Source organism: Homo sapiens, chromosome 17 (genome assembly GCF_000001405.40).
Source record: "Homo sapiens chromosome 17, GRCh38.p14 Primary Assembly".
NCBI classification, from domain to species: Eukaryota; Metazoa; Chordata; class Mammalia; order Primates; family Hominidae; genus Homo; species Homo sapiens.
The window spans coordinates 82578337-82604602 of NC_000017.11; the positions used below are offsets into that span (position 1 = coordinate 82578337).

A 26266-nucleotide genomic window follows, 5' to 3' on the forward strand; every position below is an offset into this window, starting at 1 on the left:
ACGCTCAATTTGGAAAGCCTTTGGGGGAAAGGTAATTGCTCAGAATTGCAAATCCTTTTCTTCATGTTTAGCGTTAAAGAATAACAGCCCACGTTTTCTCTGAAAGCTTTAAAATTTCTGAATCATTAGAGTCCAGTCAATGTGGTTTTAATACATGTAGCAACAGAATGAAGGAACATCCATCCTGGGTTTGATCAAATTACAACAGCCTTAAATTACCTTAGAAACATAGTTACTTTATTCTATTTGTGTCTACATTAAATGTCTCATTAATTCCTCATATTTTCTGGAGTCTTGTTGGCTGGCAAATCACAAGTAATCTTTCTTCATTTGCCCTTGGAGTTGTTGTCAGGGAGATGGATTGGAGAATAAAATAGGTTAGAATCTATTCTGATGCTGCGAACTGGGTTCTTTTACGTTTTCAGGACAGAAAATAGCAGCTCCCCAATTCCACAGACTTACTTTGCGTCTCGTAAGTGATGGTGGTGGTGACGCAGGGGCAGGGCTTCTGGCCCGTGTCACGTTCTTCTGCTCACATGGCTGGAGTATGGCCCCAAAGTCACCTTTTCTGCTTCCACATTCCCACTGTGCTAACCTTCTTTCCTCCTAAGAGCATGCAAATTAAATGACTCCACATCAGTCAGTACAGCCACAGCCTTCACTTCGGGGCTTGTTGACTGTTGTCTGTTCTTCAGACTCGGATGCTGCGTGGGGTAGCTCTTTCTGAGTCCCCGCTTAGGAGGACTGGTCCTGGTAGAACAGCGAGAGGGGAAGTCGTCCTTCTCAGGCAGTGGCTGGGATTGCCATTTGCACTGCTTGAGGGTTTTATATTACCATCGTGTGGGTTTGCTTTTCTTCAGTCCTAGTCTCAGAATCTACCTTCTACTTCACACTTAAAATTCTGAGAGCAGTTGGCAAAGCTTTGCCTTCTCTGTCTTTGTCGGGGCACCAATAACAGTCATGTTTGATTTTCTGGAGGAATTGATAGAAAGATTGGGCGTCAGCTAAAGCCAAATAAAACATTATAGCAGTATCTGTGGTTATTAGAATATTTGAAATCTCATCTGATGCCCTTACCTATAAACAGTTTCACAAATCCCACACATGGCCTAGCCCACCTCTTCATGTCGCCCATGAAGTAGCTCCATCCACAGGGCCCAGATCCCTCCCACACATGGCCTAGCCCTCCTCTCCATGTCACCCATGAAGTAGCTCCATCCACAGGGCCCAGATCCCTCCCACACATGGCCTAGCCCTCCTCTCCATGTCACCCATGAAGTAGCTCCATCCACAGGGCCCAGATCCCTCCCACACATGGCCTAGCCCTCCTCTCCATGTCACCCATGAAGTAGCTCCATCCACGGGCCCAGATCCCTCCCACACATGGCCTAGCCCTCCTCTCCATGTCACCCATGAAGTAGCTCCATCCACAGGGCCCAGATCCCTCCCACACATGGCCTAGCCCTCCTCTCCATGTCACCCATGAAGTAGCTCCATCCACAGGTCCCAGATCCCTCCCACACATGGCCTAGCCCACCTCTCCATGTCGCCCATGAAGTAGCTCCATCCACAGGGCCCAGATCCCTCCCACACATGGCCCAGCCCTCCTCTCCATGTCGCCCATGAAGTAGCTCCATCCACAGGGCCCAGATCCCTCCCACACATGGCCTAGCCCACCTCTCCATGTCGCCCATGAAGTAGCTCCATCCACAGGGCCCAGATCCCTCCCACACATGGCCTAGCCCTCCTCTCCATGTCACCCGTGAAGTAGCTCCATCCACAGGGCCCAGATCCCTCCCACACATGGCCTAGCCCTCCTCTCCATGTCGCCGGTGAAGTAGCTCCATCCACAGGGCCCAGATCCCTCCCACACATGGCCCAGCCCACCTCTCCATGTCACCATGAAGTAGCTCCCATCCACAGGGCCCAGATCCTTCCCACACATGGCCCAGCCCTCCTCTCCATGTCACCCATGAAGTAGCTCCATCCACAGGGCCCAGATCCCTCCCACACATGGCCCAGCCCACCTCTCCATGTCACCCATGAAGTAGCTCCATCCACAGGGCCCAGATCCCTCCCACACATGGCCCAGCCCACCTCTCCATGTCACCCATGAAGTAGCTCCATCCACAGGGCCCAGATCCCTCCCACACATGGCCCAGCCCTCCTCTCCATGTCACCCGTGAAGTAGCTCCATCCACAGGGCCCAGATCCCTCCCACACATAGCCCACCCCTCCTCTCCATGTCACCCGTGAAGTAGCTCCATCCACAGGGCCCAGATCCCTCCCACACATGGCCTAGCCCTCCTCTCCATGTCACCCATGAAGTAGCTCCATCCACAGGGCCCAGATCCCTCCCACACATGGCCCAGCCCTCCTCTCCATGTCACCCGTGAAGTAGCTCCATCCACAGGGCCCAGATCCCTCCCACACATAGCCCACCCCTCCTCTCCATGTCACCCGTGAAGTAGCTCCATCCACAGGGCCCAGATCCCTCCCACACATGGCCTAGCCCTCCTCTCCATGTCACCCATGAAGTAGCTCCATCCACAGGGCCCAGATCCCTCCCACACATGGCCTAGCCCTCCTCTCCATGTCACCCGTGAAGTAGCTCCATCCACAGGGCCCAGAGGCATTAGGATGGCACTTGGACAACCCCTGAGATGGGTTGTAAAGTGTTATTTTATATTTTGTATGTTGGATTTCTTAGTCACCTTTGACGATTTGAAATTCAGGCTGAGGCTTGCAATTCTAATAAGGTTAATTGGGGAATTTAGAAATGATTTTTGGATAGCTCCAGATTTTGTTTTGAGTGATCACCATTTTAACACTTTAATAGCTTAATTTTAAATCTACACATTAATGTAAATTCACGAAATGTTTCTATGAACCCATGACGTTCGTCCGGCTTTGGCCTGAGTCAGGTCCCAGCGGGGGCTTTCTTCAGGGTGTCTGTCAACTCTTAGCTGGGCTTTTTTCTGAGATGGAGTCTTGCTTCTATTGCCCAGGCTGGAGTGCAGTGGTGCGATCTGGGCTCACTGCAACCTCCTCCTCTCGGCTTCAAGCAATTCTTCAGCTTCAGCATCCTTAGTAGCTGGGACTACAGGTGTGGGCCACTGTGCCCGGATGATTTTTGTGTGGGTTTTTTTTTTTTTTTGAGATGGAGTCTTACTCTGTCGCCCAGGCTGGAGTGCAGTGGCGCAATCTCGGCTCACTGCAAGCTCTGCCTCCCGGGTTCACACCATTCTCCCGCCTCAGCCTCCCGAGCAACTGGGACTACAGGTGCCCGCCACTACGCCCCGCTAATTTTTCGTATTTTTAGTAGAGACAGGGTTTCACCGTGTTTGCCAGGATGGTCTCGATCTCCTGACCTCGTGATCCGCCCGCCTCGGCCTCCCAAAGTGCTGGGATTACAGGCGTGAGCCACCATGCCTGGCCAATTTTTGTATGTTCAGTAGAGACGGGGTTTCACCATGTTGGCCAGGCTGGCCTCAAACTCCTGACCTCAACTGAGCCGCTGCGCCCGTCTGGCTTTTTGTAATAGAAAGAATGATGCACTGATGAGGAGCTGGGAGGGAAATTTTTCCTGTGTACGTTACGAAATTATTTCAGAGTTCAAATAAAAAAACAGGTACTTTGCCAAGTCCTCTCTTCCTGGAAGATGGTGTCCATCCTGATTTTCAGCCTCCTGCTCATTTTTCTTTTTTGCTGGTTTACCAAATACTTTATACTGGATTAATTTACTTTTAATGGCATGACAGATTCTGTAAGCTAATTCTGTGCGAAAAAGTATTTTAACAGAATGGCTCACATCAGCTCTGTTTGTCTCCAAGCAGGGAGAGGTTGGCAGCTAAGTCATTGCCTCCACCTGGAATGCTCAGTGCTGACAGTTGCAGTCCTGGGTTTCCCACCTTGAAAGGAGATGGAGTCAGAAATGGCCTCTGTCTGCGCTGTGTGGATTGCTCATCCCTCCTGTTGCCAGCTCTCCACCCTGCCTCCCGGGGCCCGTTCTGCCACAGAGTGAGGTGTCCTTTCCTCTTTGGAAGCCCATAGCAGCCTTGGGCTGAAGGGCTCAAACCCCAGGCTGCTACTTCCCTTGAGAATTGCTCACCCAGGCGGGAGGGCTGCTCCTTCCACACAGCACAGCCTGTAAACGTCACTCTCTGTCATCGTTTATAAGCATGATGACTGGGTTTTCACGCTTCCCCATAGGATGGGCCTTCCTTAAATCTTGTTATGTTGTCAGCACATTACTTGTGTGACGCAAAAGAAAAAAAATTCACTCTTGCAGTCTGCCAGGCCCAACATGTAGGTTTCTGCTTTTTAGGGCACTAAAACGAGGACACATTTTTATTTCTCAGCAAATAAATATATGAATTCTACGTATTTTTTTATGTTTCATAGAATTCAATTCGCCACAATCTCTCTCTGAATCGTTATTTCATCAAAGTGCCGCGTTCCCAGGAAGAACCAGGCAAAGGCTCGTTCTGGAGGATAGACCCAGCCTCTGAAAGCAAATTAATAGAACAGGCTTTTAGGAAACGACGGCCTAGGGGCGTGCCCTGCTTTAGAACCCCTCTGGGACCGCTCTCTTCTAGGTAAGGAAAAAGAAGAACAAAAGGCCTCACTTCGTGCTTACTAAACTTACCTTCAGTGTATTGGGAAAATTTCCTTTTGAAAATGAAGGAACTACTAAATGCATTATGATTAAATGTTGGGATGGGGATTTGAGCAAAAGTGTTGGGTGCTGCCCAGGTGTTTCTGGTTCTAGTGGCTGAAACATTTGAGACGATTTGCAAAGTTTAAACTGCACTCGACGCAGTGATTGTTGCTTCATGGGGCTCATCGCATGTTGTTCATACCAGTGCCACGTCGACGTTTTTCCTTTCCCTTGGCACAGGAAAAGTTCTTTAAAACTACTTTTTAGGCCGGGCGCTGTGGCTCACGCCTGTAATCCCAGCATTTTGGGAGGCCGAGGCGGGCGGATCACCTGAGGTCAGGAGGTCGAGATCAGCCTGGCCAATATGGTCAAACCCCGTCTCTACTAAAAATACAAAAAAATTAGCCGGGCGCGGTGGCGCGCGCCTGTAATCCCAGCTACTCGGGAGCCTGAGGCAGGAGAATCGCTTGAACCCGGAAAGGCAGAGATTGCAGTGAGCCGAGATTGCGCCACTTCGTTCTAGCCTGGGCAAAACAGCGAAACTCCGTCTCAAAACAAAAATACACTACTTTTTAGCTGCTTAAGTTCGAGTTGACTTATACAGTGTTAATTTGCCTGAGTTTAAATACTTATTTTTAGCTTCACTAATACTGTTTTTAACAAAAAAAAAAATGAGCGTAACGTAAGTCTTAAATGCCCACGGACCTGCTCGCTGCCGGCTCCACCGTCAGTGCACGGGAGCTGCTTAGAGAGGGCAGCTGGCTCCGCCCCACAGCCGTGCCGCGTATGTGGGTGAGGGCCCGTGACGGCCCTGTCCCACACAGGCTGAGTCTGTCTACCCGAGTGTCCCGCTCAGTTCACAGGCGTAGGCGTGCAGAGACGTAGAACTTACACAACAGTACTTGGTTGTCAGGAGACAAATGACACCCCCTTTGCAAAGTGCACTTATTAAAACAGCAAGTGCTTTCTGAGTGCGTCAGCTGTAACCATGCAATGTCTTCTTCTCGGTGACACAGGAGTGCCCCAGCCTCTCCCAATCACGCGGGAGTGCTGTCTGCTCACTCTAGTGGCGCCCAGACCCCTGAGAGCCTGTCGAGGGAAGGTTCGCCGGCCCCCCTGGAGCCTGAGCCTGGCGCTGCACAGCCCAAACTCGCTGTCATCCAGGAAGCCCGGTTTGCCCAGAGCGCCCCAGGTGAGACAGCGGGAGAGGAAGCGAGGGCCCCAACAGCGTGAGCCAGACGCGGACGCCTGGGCTCCACAGAGAAGAAACAGCCGGACTGGAGGCCTGCCTGTCCCTCTGTACCTTATACTAGTACCTGATTTTATAGGCCTTGGAAAACTAATAGCACTGGGAGTGTTTTTTAAAAATCAATGAAGGTTCTTTAAACGACACTGAGTAGATGCCTGAAATAACTTAGAATTAACCTGTTTCTTAGTTTGTCATTCAAAAATCCATGAAACAGCCCCCGCACCCCCACCCCCCGCAAAAAAATCAAAACAAAACAAAAACCCATGAAGTAGACAAACTAGACACTGGAAGCAAAAACATGTCCTTTTTTTTTTTTTTTTTTTTTTTTTGAGACAGAGTCTCACTTTGTCACCAGGCTGGAATCTTGGCTCGTTGCAACCTCTGCCTCCCAGGTTCAAAGAATTCTCCTGCCTCAGCTTCCCGAGTAGCTGGGACTACAGGCACACACCACCACACCCAGCTGCTAATTTTTGTATTTTTAGTAGAGACAGGGTTTCACCATGTTGGCCAGGATGGTCTCAATCTCTTGACCTCGTGACCTCATGATCCACCTGCCTTGGCCTCCCAAAGTGCTGGGCGTACAGGCGTGAGCCACCACGCCCAGCCTAACATGTCCATTTTAAGGAATAGGTAAAACAGTTTGCAGTTTACTTAGTCATAATGTGGAATAAAAATGTGTGCCCTGGGGAATTAAACAAACAAACATAGTGTGGAAATGTGTCCAAACTGTCTGTTACAGTTGACAGAAAGTGAATTGGGTCATTTGGGATTCCTGGCCCTGCCGGGCCAGAGAACAGCCCTCCCCTGCCCACTGGCGGTGGCCCCTGACAGCCATGTCTCCCTCTCTTTGCTCTAAGCCCCCAAACCATGGCAGAGGCCCCTGACAGCCGTGTCTCTCTCTCTGCTCTAAGCCCCCAAACCACAAAGGGCAGAGGCTGGGTGCCAGAGGCTCTGTGACAGCCCCACTCTGTTTTTGAACTTTCTGCTTCCCTTCCACTCGTTACAGGAGGAAGATGTTGATCCTAGGTGAGTGTGGCCCTCGTCTTTCTGGCCTACAGGGGCAGTTTCTTCTTTTTTTTTTTTTGTTCGTTTGTCTTGAGACAAGGTCTTGCTCTGTCACTCATGCTGGAGTACAGTGACGTGTTCTTGGCTCACTGCAGTCTCCACCTTCCAGGCTCAAGCAATCCGCCCTCCTCAGTCTCCTAAATAGCTGGGGCTGTAGGCGCACAGTAACATGCCCGGTTAATATTTGTCGTAGAGACAGGGTCTCCCTATGCCCAGGCTGATCTCAAACTCCTCCCACCTCAGCCTCCCAAAGTGCTGGGATTACAGGCGTGAGCCACTGCGCCCGGCCCAGTTTCCTCTTTTATTGAGTATTGACATTTTCTTTTTTATAAAGAACTGTGGGAAGAGGGGTTACCAGATATCTAAATAGAGCCAAAATTGCATTTTTAGCAGTTAGAGATAGGAATTAAATACCCCTTTTAAAATACTACACCTCCCTCATTATTAGTAACTTTACTATTGTGAGGTGAAATAGGGCCATATCCTATATTTTAAATTAAAGTTTGTATGTTGCTTGTCAGTGCTGAGTGTGAGAACCTTTGTTTGTAGAAGTCAGTATCTGTAAGTGTCAGTCCTGCTGTGTCTTTCACCAGGGTCACCTCTGTCCAGTCAGCCAGTCTTAATCACCGTCCAGCGGCAGCTACCACAGGCCATCAAGCCTGTCACCTACACTGTGGCCACCCCAGTGACCACCTCGACCTCCCAGCCACCCGTCGTGCAGACGGTTCACGTCGTCCACCAGATCCCAGCGGTGTCGGTCACCAGTGTGGCCGGACTGGCCCCAGCGAACACGTACACTGTCTCTGGACAAGCTGTGGTCACCCCGGCAGCCGTGCTGGCCCCTCCTAAGGCAGAGGCCCAGGAGAATGGAGACCACAGGGAAGTCAAAGGTAGGCGGAGGGGAAAGGAGGAGAGGGGAGACCACAGGGAGGTGAAAGGTGGGCCGGGGGGGGAAAGGAGGAGAGGGGAGACCACAGGGAGGTCAAAGGTGGGCCGGGGGGGAAAGGAGGAGAGGGGAGACCACAGGGAGGTCAAAGGTAGGCGGAGGGGAAAGGAGGAGAGGGGAGACCACAGGGAGGTGAAAGGTGGGCGGGGGGGAAAGGAGGAGAGGGGAGACCACAGGGAGGTCAAAGGTGGGCCGGGGGGGGAAAGGAGGAGAGGGGAGACCACAGGGAGGTCAAAGGTGGGCCGGGGGGGAAAGGAGGAGAGGGGAGACCACAGGGAGGTCAAAGGTAGGCGGAGGGGAAAGGAGGAGAGGCTGCCCCATCAGCCTCACACTCTGGGAAGTCCATAAGATTTGCTCATCCTTGGCCAGGTACAGTGGCTCACACCTGTAATCCCAGCACTATGGGGGGCTGAGACGGTCGGATCACCTGAGGTTAGGAGTTGGAGACCAGCCTGACCAACACGGAGAAACCCTGTCTCTACTAAAAATACAAAATCAGCTGGGCATGGTGGCGGGTGCCTGTAATCCCAGCTACTCGGGAGGCTGAGGCGGGAGAATCACTTGAACCCGGAAGGTGGAGGTTGCAGTGAGCTGAGATTGCGCCATTGGACTCCAGCTTGGGTAACGAGCGAAACTCCATCTCAAAAAACAAAAAAAAGATTTGCTCATCTTTTTCTAATTTGCTGTTTGTTTTAGAGACATTTTCTAGCAGGTGTGATAGCTATCTGGTTATTATGTTTTAAACTGGCAAGATTTTTATTTGCTTTCCAGTAATATTAATGTCGTTTCTTTTCCTTTAATTTCAGTGAAAGTAGAGCCTATTCCCGCCATTGGCCACGCCACGCTCGGCACTGCCAGCCGGATCATTCAGACGGCACAGACCACCCCGGTCCAGACGGTGACCATAGTACAACAGGCACCTCTAGGTCAACACCAGCTACCAATAAAAACTGTAACACAAAACGGCACTCACGTGGCATCAGTCCCCACTGCGGTCCACGGCCAGGTGAACAATGGTAAGACATGCTGGTCGGTGGCTCCCCGTGGCTGTGGGTACTGGGAGCAGAGCCCCTTCTCACTCGTGGTTTCGGTTCTGACTGTAACAATTTTAGCTTTTGTCTGAGGCAATGTTTGCATTTCGAAGCTGCAGGAAATCTAGTCATGCTGGGGAAGTGGTCGTGGAGTCGGCCGTCATGGGATTCCCGTGGGAGGACCTGCCTGAAAAGAGATGAGAGTTTCTAATACATTGAGAGGGAAAAATACTCTCGCCTCTTGTAGATTTCCTGGGTGTGGCCTGGAAGCGGCCTGAAACGGCGGGAGCCGCCGCGTGTCTTTTCCCTTGGCCTCGCGCGCCCTGTGGCCTGTGGCGGTGCTATGCTGCTGAGGGTGGGAGAGAGGCTGCTTTTCTGTGCGCTTTGCTCTCAGAGTCCGTCCGAGGCCGGTGCACAGAAAACCGCACGGATGTTCTGACATTGACAAGTGGAGACACCAGAACCTCCGCGCCGACACCGGGTTATCTACCTTCGCCCTGCCCTGTGGAGTGTGGAAAGGGTGGGAGTCCCTGCTGGCTGCCGAGTCAACTCTGGCATTGGGGCCTGGCTCAGGTGTGGGCTCCCGCTGCTCTGGGTTGGGTACATGTGGGCTGTTGCCGGCTGTGTGGCTGATCCTGGCGCTTGCGGGATCTCAAGCAGGCAAATCCGAAGCTACCGACTAAAACTGTCTCTGTGCCCACGACACGCTTTCTTTGAAAGAGGGTACAGGTCAGAAGGCTTTATCACGACGTTTGAATCCTTACCGAACGCTACGAACAGAGACCTTGAAACCTGCAGGTACCTCCTACTCTGACTCAGCACCACCCTGCCTCTCCCCAAATTTATGGAAGAACAAGGTCTGGAACCTTTTCTAGGGAAGACTGACTACCTGGGGTTTTTTTTGTTTTTAAGTAATAGCAACACTTGCTGCCTGTAGATAGATCGCAGAGTTTGCAGTCATCAGTTACCTGTTTGAATGCCTTCGTCCCCAAGCCCTGTGTCTCCTCCTTCTCTTCTCTCTGGGTAACTGTGGCTGTGGATGCTCTAAGGTGATAAACCTGGTGGCACTGCAGGTAGCTGGGAGGAGATGGAAGCCGGGAGGGCTGGCGATTGGAGGGCAGGCGGTTGGAGGGCTGGCTATTGGAGGGCAGGCGGTTGGAGGGCTGGCGGTTGGAGGGCTGGCGGTTGGAGGGCAGGCGGTTGGAGGGCAGGCGGTTGGCTTTCTGGTCTTAGTCACTCCCAGTCTGAAGACAAGGCAGAGGCCTAGTGATTCCCAGATTCGATATGTGTCAGAATCACCCAGAAGGCTTGGCTGTTAGAGGCCAGAGTGCTGCGTTCCCCAGAGTTCCCGACTAGGCCTGTCTGGTGTGGGGCCCAAGAATGCATTTCTGAAACAGTCCAGGTCTGCCAAGAGCCTCCGGTGCAGGTCAGAGGCTTTCTGGGTCCACCTCTCTTAGAAGCAGTTTGAAAAACCGTATCCCTGCCTGGTATAGTGCCTCACGCCTGTAATCCCAGCACTTTGGGAGGTCGAGGTGGGTGGATCACGAGGTCAGGAGTTCAAGACCAGCCTGGCCAACATGGTGAAACACCATTTCTACTAAAAAAAAAAAAAAAAAAACAAATTAGCCGGGTCTGGTGGCGGGTGCCTGTAGTTGTAGCTTCTCGGGAGGCTGAGGCAGGAGAATCGCTTGAACCCGAGTGTGGAGGTTCCAGTGAGATGAGATCATGCCACTGCACTCCAGCCCGGGCGACCGTGCGAGACTCTGTCTCAACAAAAAAAGAAAAACGGTATCCTTTTTATGTATTTAAGTTATCTGGAATTTTTCATTATAAATTTAAGCAAGTGTTTTAATTTTTCACTATTGAAAATATTGATGTTTTAAAATAAAGCTTTTACGGGATTATTTTCAGTGTACTACTGGACTCCAAATACAGACATCATGAGATGTCCACTTGCCCACGTGTGGACACACAGGCAGGAGCGGCCCAGATCCTCCCTTGTCTGTGGCCTGGTCTTTCCATCTCACATTCCCTAACAGGTTTTGTACGAGTCACATACTTTAGGCTTAAATGTCATTTATTAGTCATATCTTTTCTCTGCAGCAATAAAATATAGATATAAATATTAAAGTTTGTCTATGAGTAACAAAATTGATAAAACCCAAAAATATAACAAATTCTTATAAAACCAAAAATTAAAATGTTACTGAAGATGCCTTTCTTAGTGTATTTAGCTTTAAAGGAAACCACCTGATTCGTTCTGTATTCACTGATGGTTGCACAGTCCTAGTGTCAACACTGAGGGCCTGTTTCCACTCAGGAAGGAGAGGACAGTGTCAGCACTGAGGGCCTGTTTCCACTCAGGAAGGAGAGGACAGTGTCAGCACTGAGGGCCTGTTTCCACTCAGGAAGGAGAGGACAGTGTCAGCACTGAGGGCCTGTTTCCAGATGAACGTGAAAGTCTGTCAGTGATCTTGGCTGGGTGTGGTGGCTCACGCCTGTAATCCCAGCACTTTGGGAGGTGGAGGTGGGCGGATCACTTGAGATCAGGAGTTGGAGACCAGCCTGGCCAACATGGTGAAACTCCGTCTCTACTAAAACTACAAAGATTAGCCGGGTGTGGTGGCACATTCCTGTAATCCCTGCTACTCTGGACGCTGAGGCAGGAGAATCGCTTGAACCTGGGAGATGGAGGTTGCAGTGAGCCGAGTTCAGACCACTGCACTCCAGCCTGGGCAACACAGCGAGACTCCATCTCAAAAAAAAAAAAAAGTCTTGTCAGCACCAGTATTTCCTATTATTGCTTTCATGCTCCATCCCATAGTTTTCATCCCCAAAGCCAGTGCCCAGTTGAGCAGATGAGAGAGGCTGTTCAGAGAGAGGAGGTGGCAGATGGGCTTTAAGAAAAGACTTCAGGACCAAGAGGAGATTCTGGAAATGATTTTCCTTAAAACAGTGTCGGCTACAGCCTGGATGCTGAACACCTAGGATGAGAACCACTGCACAGGTGCTCATAATTTTGGCCTCTTGTAGTCTTTTATTTTTTATTTGGGAGGTAGTGTCTCACCATGTTGCCCATGCTGGTCTCAAGCTCCGGGGCTCAAGCAGTCTGCCCACCTCGGCCTCCCAACGTGCTGAGATGACAGGGTGAGCCACCGCCTCTGGCCAGCACGTCTTTTCATGTACTTTATGGTTATTTGTGTATCTTCTTTGAAGAAATTTTTTTTAAGTCCTTTGCCCATCATTTAATTGGGTTGTCTTTTTGTTGTGAAATTTGTAGTTCTTTATTCATATGTAGAGATTTCAGGCCTTTTCAGACATGTAGGTGTAACTCAGAGACATTGCAGGGTTGGTTCCAGACCACTGCAAAAAAATGAATATTGCAGTAGAGCTGCCAGTCACATGAAATTTTTGGGTTCCTACTATATTAAGCAATTATGTTTATACTAAATTGTAGTGTAGTGTATTACCCCAAGGAAAATGTAGTATTTTTACTGAGGAATTATGTGGATGTGGCCGAGTTTTCTGACCCAAGCATGGGGTTAGAATGTCCTGTGCAGGGAGGGACTGCACAGGCTGCCTGAGACTCTCCCAGGGGTACCAGAGGGCTCAGCACCACGAGCAGATAGGCCGAGGCTGGGCTGCCTGCCCTAAGGGGGTTCCATCCTCACCCTGGCCCCAAGGGCAGCCTGGGCCGGTTCTGCCTCTGCCACCAGCTGCTGTGGGACCCGGGGCTCAGGGCTTGGCCCCTGCGTGTGTCGTGAAGACAGTGCTGACAGATGGGAGGTGGGGCTGACAGGACGAGGGGTCAGGATGTTCCGGCCATGCACTGTAGCCCTGGCCTTGCAGGACAGCAGGTGGCTTGGTGGGATGATAGGTGAGTTCCGTGGGCAGGCGCAGGGCATGAGCTGCCAGTGTCTTCCTGGAAGGTGACTCTGGGGTTGTCGCTCCAGCTGGAGTGTACCCTCATTCCTGCTTCCATAGGGGTCTCCATGGAGGCCTCATTCAAACACAGGCGAGCCCATCCCTGGCCTGTCAGGTTCACCAGGGTGGCCCCTGGTCCCGTTGTCGCCGTTGTCCACACCCTGCCCACCTGCCAATGCTCCTGTGTCCCCTGCTCTGCTCCAGGGCCCCAAACCCTGTGCAGAGCTGGGGTGCATCATGCTGCCGCCCCATGGAGAAGGCCTGGAGGAGATGGAAGCCGGGAGGCTTCCTCTTACAGGAAGGGAAGCCCCAGAAATGTGCCTGGCACCAAGAAACTGCTCCAAGCTTGTTCCAGAGTGTGGGGAGGGCTTGAGGCCTCCCCTTTTTGAGTACATGGAAAGGAAAGCCTGGCATTTTCTGGAAACGCTCCCAAGTCTCCCTGGCAGGGAGATGTGGGAAGAGTCCAGGCGCCCAAGCTCTTGCATATTCACTTCCTCCCATCACACGTGCTGTGTACAAGCACCCTCAGAGCTCGCTTTGGGAGACCCCTGCCTCAGGGCTGCGGGTGCCGCCGTCCACACCACAGGCCCTTCTGCTTCCTGTTTCCAAAGCTCATCTCCTGTCTCTGGGCTGCAGGCGCTGTTTCTGGTTTACTGGCACAACTGTGGTTGTGTTTTTGTCAATGACTTCATCTTTGCTGCTGTTGTTTTGAGATACTGTCTTGCTCTGTCACCCAGGCTGGAGTGCAGTGCCGAGATCTCAACTCACTGCAGCCCCGACCTACTGGTCTCAAGCCATCCTCCTGCCTCAGCCTCCCAAGTAGCTGGGACTACAGGTGTGCAGCACCACATCCAGCTAAGTTTTTGTATTTTTTGTAGAGACAGGGTCTCACTATGTTGCCCAGGCTGGTTTCAAACTCCTGGACTCTGGTGATCCTCTAGCCTTGGCCTCCCAAAGTGCTGGGATTACAGGTACGAGCCAGCATACCCAGCCAGTGTTGTCGTTTTGATTTGGGAGTTCGGGGCTGAGCTGTGTTTGGCCAGGGCCTCGCCTGCTCAGTGTGCTCCTGGGCTGAGCTGCGGTCCTGGAGCATCTCTTGGCTCACATATTGACTCCTCCGGCCTCTCTACTGTCCTGGTCCTTCATGGGGCTCACATGTGTGTCCTCTTGTTTTCTTTCTGTCACCTTCTTAAGGGTTCACAGATCACTGTCAGTGGAAGGTGTTGCCACAGCTCAAGCCTCACAGTGGAGGAACCTCATGAGGCCCTTCACGGGGCCACTCCCTGTCTGGACAGGCCTGCCTGACCAGCCCTGCTGGGAAGCCTGGGCTTTGCTGCTGCTTCACCCTGCGACATTCTCCTCAGGCCCTGCCTTTCGCTTCTTTCGTTAACATTGTTCCTGCCTTGATCGTTTGCTCCCTCCTGCCTAACTCTGCTCTTCTTCCTTGTGTAGCAGTTACGTGGTCCTCAAATATCATTTGTTGACTCCAGTGTTTCCTGGGGCATCTCCTCAAGCTGGCTGGGGTTCTCTGCATCTCAGCTGTGGCGCCTGGTGTGAGGGCGCACGCTTCGCAGTGAGAGTGAAATGCCCAGTTCGCGCTGGCAGAGGGAGACCCTGTGAAGGTCTCCCTGTGCCAGGCACAGGCTCTTATTCTGAAAGCAGACCCCGTGAAGGTCTCCCTGTGCCGGGCACAGGCTCTTATTCTGAAAGTAGACCCTGTGAAGGTCTCCCTGCGCCGGGCACAGGCTCTTATTCTGAAAGCAGACCCAGTGAAGGTCTCCCTGTACCGGGCAGAGGCTCTTATTCTGAAAGCAGACCCCGTGAAGGTCTTCCTGTACCGGGCACAGGCTCTTATTCTGAAAGACCCAGTGAAGGTCTCCCTGCGCCGGGCACAGGCTCTTATTCTGAAAGCAGACCCCGTGAAGGTCTCCCTGCACCGGGCACAGGCTCTTATTCTGAAAGCAGACCCAGTGAAGGTCTCCCTGTGCCAGGCAGAGGCTCTTATTCTGAAAGCAGACCCAGTGAAGGTCTCCCTGTGCCAGGCAGAGGCTCTTATTCTGAAAGCAGACCCTGTGAAGGTCTCCCTGTACCGGGCACAGGCTCTTATTCTGAAAGGGTACGCAGCAGTTTCTGGAAGGAAGGAAGGAGGGAGGGAGGGAGGGAGGGAAAGAGGAAGGAAGGAAAGGAGAGCGATAGGCACAGAGGAAGGTAGATGAAGCCCCGCGCCCCCCTGGCGGAGCCCAGCCCTGTTCACCGCGTGCTGTGCGGGTGCCTGTGCCAGGATCAGCTGGCTGGACGGCTATAGCCCCACGCCTGCAGGCCACATACCTGGGAGAGTGTGGGCCTTCCGAGCCTTCTGGCTCCCGGCCCCACAGAGGAATTACGGTCCCATGTCCCTCACAAGGACCCTTGCAGAGGGAGCAGTGCATCGGCACAGAGCAGGACACAGGGGAGCCGGGCTGAGGCTGCGGGTCCCTTGTGGCCGCCAGGTGCTCACGCGTGCCTCGGTGGGGATCTGGCAGCCAGATTTGGGGTGAGGATTTGATGATGTGGGTATCCCTAGCTGGTCCCACAGTGACGATGGGTGTTGCGTTGTGAGCATGTAAAACGGCAGTGACGTCTGAGGGTCCCTGGACGTCTTTCACACCCAGCCTCAAAGCGGAGCCTTTCCAGGCAGAGCAGCAGCTGCCGCCACTGGATTGACAGCCCCAGAGCAGCGGGATCAGGCCACGCGGACGAGGAGGTGCGAGGCCTCGGGTCGGGGCCTGTGTTCTGCGGGAGCCGCACCCATCATCGCTGTGGCGGTGGCAGTGGAGCAGCTGCTCTCGTGTCTGAGCTGCTCCGGCGTCTCTGTCCACAGTATAGGGTCTTCTGATGCTTCCTGGAGGTCTCGGAGGGGCTTGCTGCGTGTAGTACCCACACAGCCCACAACTGGGGTGTTGTCAAGTGTTATGACGTAGGTTGCCTGTGGAGTAAAAGTTGGCCGCTAAGAAATGCTCTAGACAGGCCGGGCACGGCGGCTCACACCTGTCATCCCAGCACTTTGGGAGGCCGAGGCGGGCGGATCACGAGGTCAGGAGATTGAGACCATCCTGGCTAACACGGTGAAACCCTGTCTCCACCAAAAATACAAAAAATTAGCTGGACATGGTGGCGGGCGCCTGTAGTCCCAGCTATTCGGGAGGCTGAGGCAGGAGAATGGCATGAACCCGGGAGGTGGAGCTTGCAGTGAGCTGAGATCGCGCCACTGCACTCCCGCCTGGGCGACAGAGCGAGACTGTCTCAAAAAAAAAAAAAAAAAAAATGCTCCAGACACTTCAGTTTGAAAATATTGGAATTTATGTGGGGAGGATTAGTGTGCATGGAAGGCCAAAAATGTGAATGCATCTCCGCAGTCATCTTTCCAAAAGCCGCCCTCTGAATCAGTGAGGACCCTCAGGGTGGGGAACGTCCCCTTGTGAGTGTCTGCAGATTGGAGTAGGCAGCAGCGGAGCCCGTCTCTGTAGATGGACTCGCAGAGGAACTTAGTTCTTTCCCTAAAGGAGTAGGAACAGCTGGGCGCCGTGGCTCACGCCTGCAATCCCAGCACTTTGGAAGACCAGGGTGGGCAGACTGCTTGTGCCCAGGAGTTCAAGACCAGCCTGGACAACATGGTGAATCTCTGTGTCTACAAAAAATCACAAAAGTGGCTGTGGCGGCAGCACCTGTAGTCCCAGCCACCAAGAGGCTAAGGCAGGGAGATCGTTTGAGCCAGGGAGGTTGAGGCTGCAGTGAACCGTGATCGCCCCACTGCACTCCATCCTGGGAGACAGGGTGAGACCCTCTCCACATAGTAAGTAAATGGAGGAATAGAAACGCAAGCCGGCATACATTGTCTTTGACAGCATTTTGTGGATAGGCAAGTTCTAACCATGGGGGCAACGTGGGATGCAGCAGGGTTTGGTGTGCCGTGGGGCAGGGGTAATTTGCTTGTTTCTCTAAGACTTTGTACAGCTCTGTAAACAGATTCCCATTAGGTCGTCCTTTCCTTGTGACAGGTAATAGTGGAGGTGTCACAAGGTAAGTGGCCTGTCTTGCCTGGTTTTCAGGTTCTACGGCTTTTGTCTTGTTTTTTGAGAAAGGGTCTGTCACTCAGACTGGAGTGCAGTGGCGTGATCACAGCTCAGTGCAGCCTTGAACTCGTGGGCTCAAGTGATTCTCCTGCCTCAGCCTCCTGAGTAGCCAGGACTACAGGCACGTACAAACATGTCCAGCTAATATTTTTTTTCTTTTGTAGAGATGGGGTCTTACCGTGCTGCTCAGGCTGGTCTCAAACTCCTAGGTTCAAGTGATTCTCTCGCCTCTGCCTCCCCAAATGCTGGGACTACAGGTGTGAGCCACCGCGCCCAGCCTTCTCCTTGTGTTTGAACTGGAGAGGACAGAGTGCTATACATGTGGTCACGGTTTTTCTTCGTTGAAAGCTCTAACAGTGGGGTCGGTCCCTGTTATTAAGCCTGTGTCACTATTCCCTGGGCCCTAAAAGTGCACCTGGCTCCTGTGACTTGGGGTCCTTTCCCACTCCTCTCCCCAGGGCCCCTTGGCCTCAGAAGGCCCCCATGTGCCAGCTCAGACTGGAGTTGCCTCAGTTGACACAGCAGGCCCCATCCAGACAGACCAGCAGGTGCTTCTGGAGACAAGAGCAAAGCCTTTTCCGGCAGCCCGGAACCTGGGATGAGAAACGACAGGTGGAAGGTTGTCCAGAGACACCTACAGCGTGGATGCTGTTCCGAGTCAGCGTAGGAGAAAGGCCACTGGAAACCAGAGTCACACTGCGCGTCTGTGCATCTCTGGCCTACCGCAGTGGCCCCGGCTGTCTGCACATTTTTTGTAGACACATTAGAGTCGGTTGAGGCCACACCTGCGGCCACAGACTGCGACCGCGATTGCAGGGAGGAGCATCTGAGGTGGTCACGGGGTTTGCCCAGCTCACACCAACTGCAGGTCAGTTCCTGCTTCGCCTTCAGTAGCCTGAGTCCCTTCTTCTTTTTCTTTCACGTTACTAGGGCAGTTGTTCGCTGACGCCTTAATTCTGGAACACGTTCCTTGCCCAGATTCTTGGTGGCTGCTTGTTCCCTTCTCATCGTTCCTGCTGTGTTTTCCATGCTTGGTGTAGGGGGACCCTCAGAGCTTGGTGTAGGGGGAGCCTCAGAGCTTGGTGTAGGGGGAGCCTCAGAGCTTGGTGTAGGGGGAGCCTCAGAGGTGGCGTCAGGACGTGCCTGCCCCACCGGTTGCCCTGGTGCCCTCGTCACGCCCCGGGACCGCGCACACGTGGGGACTGTTTCCAGACGCACTTTCTGCGGGCAGTCTGTGTGGCAGGGCTCCCTGCCCAGCTCCTGCAGCCTCATCAAGTCTCCCACTAAGGAGGTGTCGCTCCTCCAACTTTGTTCTTTTTAAAAATCGCTTCAGCCATTCTAGGTCCTTGGCATTTCCGCGTGAACTGTAGGATTCCTACACCAAGCCTGCTGGCGTCTTGATTGGGACGGTGTTGAATCCAGAGTGTGTGGCAGAGCTGGCGGAGCCCCTCTTTCTTTGATCTCTGCCGATCTCCTTGATTTCACGTTTGTTTTATTCCACAGACCACCCCCTCCCCATCTTCTCACCTACTTCAGGTTCCATTTCATGGTAGGAAATTCCTGTAGTCCTCCCGGGCTTGCTGAAGTGCTGCTCCAAGTTACAGTCCCCGGGTTGTCAGGCGTGGCGAGAGCCCCTTGTGCTCAGAGCTCTCACGGAACACAGAGCAAGCCTGTCTACGAGTTCAGCCGGTGAGGGGCAGGGGCTGGTGAAGGCGGCGGCGCCTCTGGGTGTGCCCAGGGGCAGGGTCGCCTCCAGGCCCCACGCGCTAAGCCGTGACTCCCTGTAACACACCCGTGTCGACACAGGTCACGTGGGCCCGAGGTGCTCATACATCACACTCCTTGTCCAGGATGGTCCTTCCTGGCACCATGTGGTCCTCGGTGCAAACCAGAGTTTGCAGTGCTCGCTGCACAGACCCTTCTGCCTTATTCAGCATCTTTAGATCAACAGAGTCAGTGCCTTCCCAAGAGAGCACGTGTGGGCCTCATCAGGAGCATGTGCCCAACTCGTGTGTGTGTTCCTTCTCTGCCCTGGAGGAGAGGGGTCGCCCTCTCTTGTGGCCCACCCCGGGGCTGCAGGGCTGATGGCTGCTCCCTCCCCAGCTCCGGCACCTCCAGGGCTCTGCTGCCTTTAGTCTTCCTTGCGTGCCCTCCACCTCCCTCCGAGCCTCTGCTGAGACCTCTGCTTCAGGGCCGGGCGTGTTAGCACAGCCCCTCTGCTGTTACAGGGCTCCATGTGGGGTCTCCACGTGGCGGAGTACCTCGCGACAGAGGCTCTGTGAGGGCAGGGCTGGGTGGATGAGAGTATTTAAGTGTCACCATTTCTTTTCTTTCTTTTTTTTTTGAGACAGAGTTTTGCTTTTGTTGCCCAGGCTGGAATGCAGTGGCATGACCTTGGCTTACTGCAACCTCTGCCTCCTGGGTTCAAGCAATTCTCCTGCCTCAGCCTCCTGAGTAACTGAGATTACAGGTGCCCGCCACCACACCTGGCTAATTTTGTATTTTTAGTAGAGACGGGGTTGCACCACGTTGGCCAGGCTGGTCTCAAACTCCTGACCTCAGGTGATCCGCCCACCTTGACCTCCCCAAGTGCTGGGATTACAGGCGTGAGCCACCGCGCCCGGCCTCCCAGTTTCTTTTCACTCCAGGCCTCTCACTACTGTTCTCTAATTGACACAGAATAATTGTGCAAGTGTATGGGGTGCACAGTGATGTTGAGAAGCATGTGACTCGTGATCGGCACATCCGTCATCTCATTGACCATTTCTAGGTGTTGGGAACCTTCTGGCTGTTTGAAACCGTATTGTTGACTCCCATCATCTCGCAGTGCTGCAGAACACTAAACTTATTCCTTCTGTCTAGCTGTCGTTTCTAGTTTTACGTCTTTTTAAAAATTATTCCTCCTGTCTGTCATTTCTAGTTTTATGTCCTTTTAAAAATTATTTATTTTTTATAGAGACGGGGTCTTGCTATGTTGTCCAGGCTGGTCTCAGCCTCCTGGCCTCAAGGGACCCGCCTGCCTCAGCCTCTCTTGGGGTTGCAGGCGTGGACCACTGTGCCTGGCCTACGCCTCTTGTATTCTCTGGGTCATCCAGTCAACTTGAGCCCTGGTGAGGGTGAGGCTGTTGGGTTGGGTGAGTCAGCCGTGTTGTGCTGCCGTAACAGAACACCCAAGATGGAAGACTTTAGCATGAACAGAAACGGATTGGCTTGCAGTTCTGGAGGCTGGCAAGGGCCTTCTTCCTGTGTGCTCACGTGGTGATGGGGTGAAGGCATATTCACCCTTTTAGAATGAACTCACTCCTGGAATCATGAGCCTGTCCCTTGGTGACAGCATTAAGCTGTTAGTGAGGGCAAAGCCTTCATGGTCAAGTCACCTTCTGAAGATGCCACCTCCTAATTAGGCTGCGTGGGCAAGTGAGTTTCAGCATTTCAGGAGACAGATGCCCACACCATAGCAGTGACCTCATCTCATTCAGGGTATTGGTGCTTGTCAGACACTGGCTGTGACTCGCATCTGGGTGCGTGTGCCTCTCTCTGTGGGGGCCACCCTGCCGTCAGGCGCCAGGAAACCGACGTCAGGGAATGTGGGGGTCTCCCTGAGAGGGTGCCGACCTAACACGGCTCCTCCGGGTCACGTGGGTGGGCTCAGCGGCCTCCCGTGCCTCCCCTAGGTCTGGAGTCTCCCCTGCCCTCTCGTTGGGCTCCAAGCCTCTTCCTCAGCCCAGCTTCCTGCTTTGTGGCAGCCGTGCTTTCTGGAAGCTGAGCAGCTTCTTTTTTTTTTTTTTTTTTTTGAGACGGAATTTCTTTGTCCCCCAGACTGGAGTGCAATGGCACGATCTCAGTTCACTGCAGCCTCCGCCTCCTGGGTTCAAGTGATTCTCCTGCCTCAGCCTCCCGAGTAGTTGGGACTATAGGCCCCCACCACCTTGCCCGGCTAATGTTTTTGTATTTTTAGTAGAGATGGTGTTTCACCATGCTGGCCAGTTCGAGACTGGTCTTGAACTCGTAACCTCAGGTGATCCTCTCGCCTCAGCCTTCCAAAGTGCTGGGATTACAGGCGTGAGCCACCGCACCTGGCCTCTTGTTCATGTTTTATGTGTAAATTGGTCCTCTGCTATTTCTGTTGCTCAGAGGTGGAAAGGAGAAGGGAACACGATAAAGTCACACATCCACACTGTTGACAGGGGTTTGGCTTCCAGGGAACACACCTCTGTGGCCTCAGGGCTATGTCCTGAATTCTAAAACGGGGCTCTCACGGCTGACCCGATGTCACTGGGTCCCCGTTTGCTGCTTGAGTCTCTTCGGAGCCCAGTGTTGACTCCCGCTCTTCGTGGCTGCCCCGGCTATCTGGCCATGAGGAGCTGACCACGCACCTGGCCGGACTCACATCCGCTCCGCTAGGGAAGACCTGGGGGCGGAGGTCGGTCTCTGACCAGCCAGCGTCCCTGCAGGGGACTGCGAGTAGGAGGCGGGTATTGCCCACGCCAGGGCCTGTGGTCTGAGAGGGCTGGCCCTTGACGGACAGGTGGGCAAGTCCCCCTCCCACATCTCTAGGCACCAGGGCGTAGCGTACCATGTGTGCTGTGTTTGTGGTTGGGTTCAGGTACTGCCCTGTAGGCGTGTCTGCTCTGAGCCTCCTGGGACAGCCTGAAGTGGTTGCTGCACAGCTGCTTTGGGGCCTCCCAGGGGTGTGTTCCTGCTCCCACCCTGGGGTGCTCTGAGTTGGTCTTGGGTTAGAGAAGTGCAGTGGCTGGTGTGTGCGCAGCCTAGGGGCCTAGGACCTGCTTCTCAGAGCATCACGGGGCCCACCAAGAAGTGCCCCCTGGGGAGGTGACAGCGTCTTCCAGAAATGCCGCCGCCCACAAGGAGGACTGGCCTGTGCCGGAAGCTGGAGATGGTGGGGTCCTGATGGCACCTGGTAGGTGAGGGTGCCCCAGAGAAACAGAGCCAAGGCGGCGGCCTGGAGACAGATTCTGTGGAATCTGCCCACTCTGTTGTGGGGCCTGCCAAGCTCAGCATCTGCAGGGTGGACCGAACCCCGGGGAAAGAGTCAGTGCTGGATTCTCAAGAGTCCAGAGGCCATCCAGGGCAGAGTGCTCCCCTCAGAGGACCTCAGTCTTTTCTTAGTCCTTCACCTGATTGGATGAGGCCCACCCACTCATGGCGATCAGCTGATTTACTCAGAGCTGACTGATTTAAATGTTAATTTCATCTAAAGAAGTAACTATACAGAAACATCCAGATTAATGGTTGACCAAAATCTGGGCACTGTGGCTCAGCCAGGCTGGCACATAACATTACCCATCGCATGTTAGTTGGAAGCTTGGCCTTTGGAATTAACTCAGCCTGGTCAGCCGTTAGCAGCCAGCAGTCTCTGTTCTGCCCACACACCTCTGTGGACTGACCCAGGACACAGGTGAGCAGCATCCATGAGAAACTGTGGTGCTTCTCTCCTATGGGACAGATGGAGCCCCGCTCCCTTCTGTGTGGAAATGGTCCAGGAGCATCTTGTGCGGGTGGTGGGGGGGCGAGGGCAGGGCCTCCGCATGAGGGAGAGCAGCGAGCGGCAGCCACTCCTTCGCCGAGCCAGCAGGGCCATCTCCTGTCTGCCTCAACCACTACTGGACTCAGCCTTTCTCCCCCAGCAGTGACATCAAAATAGCCTATTTATAGGACATAACAAAGATGATGCCAGCTGTTAATAAAAATGTCCGCTAATCAGGCAGTTCACTTGCTGCAGTTTTTTGGGGTCCCAAGGGCCCAGCCCAGGCTCCTGTGCCCTTGGCCACCGTGGGCCAGTCCCTGGGGTCTTGTGGGAGCCTCCGCGGGCCTGGGAGTGGCAGGACCCTTAGAGGGCGAGAGTTCACATGAGAGCGTGGGGTTCTGACTCGCGAGGGTTCACGTGAGAGCGTGGGGTTCTGAGTCGCGAGGGTTCACGTGAGAGCGTGGGGTTCTGACTCCCTCGTGTCATTTCAGCCGCGGCGAGTCCTTTGCACATGTTGGCAACACACGCATCCGCATCGGCCTCCCTGCCCACAAAGCGCCACAACGGTGACCAGCCGGAGCAGCCGGAGCTGAAGCGGATCAAGACAGAAGACGGCGAGGGCATCGTCATTGCCCTGAGCGTGGACACGCCACCGGCAGCCGTAAGGGAAAAGGGTGTCCAGAACTAGCGACCGGGAGAGCTTTTCTTTAACGATATCAACTCTGTGGTGCCAAAAGGAGACGCGGCCTCCCGCCAGCACTCGGGGGTGCAGGGCCCTGTGGTTGGACTTCACCTCTCAGCACTGAAAACCCAAAACCCAGCTGGCCTTAACACTCCTTAAAGACAGAAGTCACACTTGAACAAAACCCACACACAACAAAACCTGATTTGGGAGACGGTGTCTCCACTGAGCACCTGCTGGGCTGAGCTTCTACCTACGAGTGAAACTCTGTCCTCCCGCGAGGACCAGGCATCGCTGTGTGAGGACGGCACGGCCAGCGCCTGCTGTGAGTGGGTCTCCCAAGACTAGGCCTCAGGACGCGGGGGGAGCCATCCCCGCCGCCCTCACAGGACCCACCAGGCAGCGGAGACATGTGGAATTAGAGTATTTTGAGGTGTCCTTTCTTTACAAAATAATGGGGTCTTGGGCATTTCACATCACTCCATTTCTACTGAGACTTTCAGAATCACACAGGCCCTTTCCGTGGATTTCATTTGGGGCAAAGAAACAACGTAGTTTTGTTTTTGTTTTCAGCCTATGGAATGATTTCCTTTTGTCTGTCTTGTTCAAGTTCAGACGAAGCTACTCTGGCATCTGCACATTTCCGTGTTACAGCAGCTGCCTGATGAATTTTATCCACCTCCATTTCAGCATGTGGCTCGCGTGGACAGGTGGACGGACGCTGTGGCCGCATGGAACCTTGAGAACCCAGGGACGAGCCAGTGCCGGGAAGGAACTGCCGGGACTCACCGAGCTGCACTTAACTGTTCTCTTTCTGGCTATTTTTTGTTGTTTGTTTCTTTGTGTTGACTTTGTCCCTGGCAAAATTTTCCACTCTGAGTAAAACAAGTCTCCTAAGTATTGTGTATGTTTAAAACGACAGAACCATTTCTACTTCATTTGGAAAAAGATTCAGTCTTTTATCACAGGCCCTTTTGAAACTCAGATCCCAGGTCTCTCCGTGGTATGTTTGTATTTGGGGTGTCCCTCCGGCTCTAGGCGGCCTCTGACCTGCTGTCTACTCCCCACCTTCGGTGAGCGGCCGCCATGGTGGAGCAGGGTCCGAGCCACGTCCTGCAGGGCACGTCTGGGGCATTTCCTGTTTTGTGGTAGGAAATGTCCCTGACCTTTCAGAACCGAACCCAATCCTGAGGCTGACTCCTCTACGGAAAATGAGGACAGGACGGGGGTGAGGGAATGAGAGTGGGAGGTCCCTGCACCTCCTCGCCCGGCTCCTCAGGAAGAAAACCGCTGGCCCTTCCCGAGTGTGCCGGCCGAGGGCCGAGGGCCGTGCACATGGGGAGAGGGCGTCAGCCTGATGGCTGAGCTTTTAAATGTCATCATCATAACATTATTTATTTAAATGTAGTTATTTTGGTATTTAATTTTTTTTTAGAGAGGAAAAAACCTGTATTTTCCTGGTGGGATGAAATAGGGATGAAATGGCTCAGAATGGTATATTTAGGCAATTTTAAAACATTTATTATTTACATAAAGACCAAATATGATGAATCTGTTCCGTGAATTGTGTCGGCCCTCAGCATGGGGCTGGGGCAGCGTCACTGCGGTGACGCCCATTGAAAGGTATGAAATGACTGCACACTAGCTGGATTATCACTCAGCCGTTTAAGAAATAAAAGCAAAACCATCACGTGACTGAGACCGTGTGTGTGACCGCAGCAAAGCGCAGCGTGTGGATGGATCAGAGCCCCTCGGTGCAGCTGTCTGCATCTTCCAAGCACTTTACAGATACCTTGGAATGTATATTTTTGTCTTCTTACTCAGAAGGTTTGCAGTTTGTAAAATAATCAGGATTCTGCTCTGTCCTGTGTGTGGGGTCAGCTCCCTCCACAGAGGGCTCCAGCTCTGTTGGTCACAGCTGATGGGGTTCTCTGATTGATAGGAGACGAGCTCTTGAGCTCTAAGGAACAGTGAGGTCGCCGGTGGGGAGCTTGGCTGGGACACCAAGCAAATGCATCGTATGTCCCCTTGGAGACGTTTTTATGCAGCTGTGTATGTTACTATCCAGAAGGAGTCGGGGGTAGACTTTCCCGTGTAAGCTCAGTCCATAAACTGGTTACTTCTGATCCTGGAACGTGGACTTCACATGATAGGTCTGGATCTGTTTCTGTTGGGATCACAGGTAAGGAAAATGTCCATTCAAATGGTAAAGAAGGGAGGAGGGTGTTTTTTTTTTTTTTTTTTGCCGTAGGCACCATTCTGCATCTTGAACCCAGACTGAAGTGTGCCTCTCACAGATGGAAGGTGCACACGCTCCTGTCTCCTCCTCACTCTGCCACGTTCACTTGGCTTTTTCATTGGTACCTAGGAATTTAAGAATATCGAAGCGAGAGCAGTAACAAACCATAGATGAGCAGACTCCCACACCGGGTTTTCTTGCCCGTCTTTAAGGCACTGTTTCTAAATTTTGAACTTAGCTCTGAATCCCCAAGAACTTGAGCACAGCAAGGGTTGCTGAGCTGCTGTCGCCGCAGCCCTGGCCCCTGGTGCTGGAGCTGCAGCACCTTTGGGAGAGGTCCTGCGTCGTCCTCAGCTGCGTCGCTGTGAACTCCCGCTCTCCACTGTGTTCCTCAGTGTCTGCTTTTCAGGAAGTCTGCTGTGACCTTTGCCCAACTTCTGAGCTCCTCAGGGACTAGGAACAATTTCAGTAGCTTTGCCCTGAACCAAACGAGAAAACAAAAGGGAACTCCCGTATGACCCACGTCACGTGGTGCACTCAGAGTGTGTGCGGCATGATCCTCGGTTGCTCCTCCTCTCACTTTAGTAGAGTACGCGGTGGACAGCTGATCTCCTTCAGTCGTCTACCCACTTCCGTCATTGTCCTCCGCTAGAATAACAGAGTAGTTGGTAGTCATGGCCAGAAGGGGGGTGGGGGCAGTGTGAGGACTTGGGGTTTCTGTGCTGTGTGACACAAGGAGATAAGTGACAATCTTGAAGTCCTAACTTCCACTATTCTAGAAAGTATAGTGGTGATTTGTGTGCAAAGATTTGAAGTTTTAAAAAAGTACCAAGTTCCTGAAATTCAATAAAATATTTTTATTAATTTTAA

The 26266-nt window shown here is 53.0% G+C and overlaps 1 protein-coding gene, 1 long non-coding RNA gene and 1 pseudogene across 5 annotated transcripts in view, besides 5 other annotated features; 2 read left to right on the plus strand and 1 right to left on the minus strand.

Moving 5' to 3' along the window:
• FOXK2 (forkhead box K2) overlaps positions 1 to 26266 on the plus strand; it is an 84871-nt gene extending 58605 nt beyond the window's left edge. The window contains exons 5-9 of one of the 3 annotated variants that reach the window (NM_004514.4): positions 4405 to 4598; positions 5677 to 5852; positions 7568 to 7864; positions 8727 to 8936; positions 22967 to 26266. In NM_004514.4, coding sequence (NP_004505.2) covers positions 4405 to 4598; positions 5677 to 5852; positions 7568 to 7864; positions 8727 to 8936; positions 22967 to 23163 — 1074 coding nt within the window. In that variant the 3' untranslated portion in view covers positions 23164 to 26266. Of the gene's footprint in view, positions 1 to 4404; positions 4599 to 5676; positions 5853 to 7567; positions 7865 to 8726; positions 8937 to 17445; positions 17849 to 22966 lie in introns of those variants that run through there. The other 2 variants (XM_047435919.1, XM_047435920.1) reach the window with 2 other exon arrangements.
• FOXK2-AS1 (FOXK2 antisense RNA 1) lies at positions 894 to 10086 on the minus strand. 2 transcript variants are annotated; one of them, XR_001753132.3, is made up of 3 exons: positions 9920 to 10086; positions 8894 to 9138; positions 894 to 972 (listed from the first exon to the last, which is right to left on the minus strand). It is a non-coding gene; the product is annotated as an FOXK2 antisense RNA 1 (long non-coding RNA). The 2 variants fall into 2 exon arrangements; XR_007065961.1 differs by lacking the exon at positions 894 to 972 and adding an exon at positions 2802 to 4507.
• Positions 4169 to 4264, plus strand: LOC124904132 (uncharacterized; annotated as a pseudogene).
• Positions 9183 to 9383: a silencer, noted in NCBI's record as "peak3032 fragment used in MPRA reporter construct". NCBI's record gives its function as "represses an SCP1 promoter by STARR-seq MPRAs in K562 erythroleukemia cells {active_cell/tissue: K562}" and the evidence as "EXISTENCE:reporter gene assay evidence [ECO:0000049][PMID:32103011]".
• Positions 13457 to 13751: a silencer, noted in NCBI's record as "tiled region #15512; K562 Repressive non-DNase unmatched - State 14:Gen5'". NCBI's record gives its function as "represses a minimal TATA promoter and a strong SV40 promoter by Sharpr-MPRA in K562 cells {active_cell/tissue: K562}" and the evidence as "EXISTENCE:reporter gene assay evidence [ECO:0000049][PMID:27701403]".
• Positions 14864 to 15064: a silencer, noted in NCBI's record as "peak3033 fragment used in MPRA reporter construct". NCBI's record gives its function as "represses an SCP1 promoter by STARR-seq MPRAs in K562 erythroleukemia cells {active_cell/tissue: K562}" and the evidence as "EXISTENCE:reporter gene assay evidence [ECO:0000049][PMID:32103011]".
• Positions 21656 to 21905: an enhancer, noted in NCBI's record as "active region_13012". NCBI's record gives its function as "activates an Ori minimal core promoter by ATAC-STARR-seq in GM12878 lymphoblastoid cells {active_cell/tissue: GM12878}" and the evidence as "EXISTENCE:reporter gene assay evidence [ECO:0000049][PMID:35858748]".
• Positions 24686 to 24795: a silencer, noted in NCBI's record as "silent region_9219". NCBI's record gives its function as "represses an Ori minimal core promoter by ATAC-STARR-seq in GM12878 lymphoblastoid cells {active_cell/tissue: GM12878}" and the evidence as "EXISTENCE:reporter gene assay evidence [ECO:0000049][PMID:35858748]".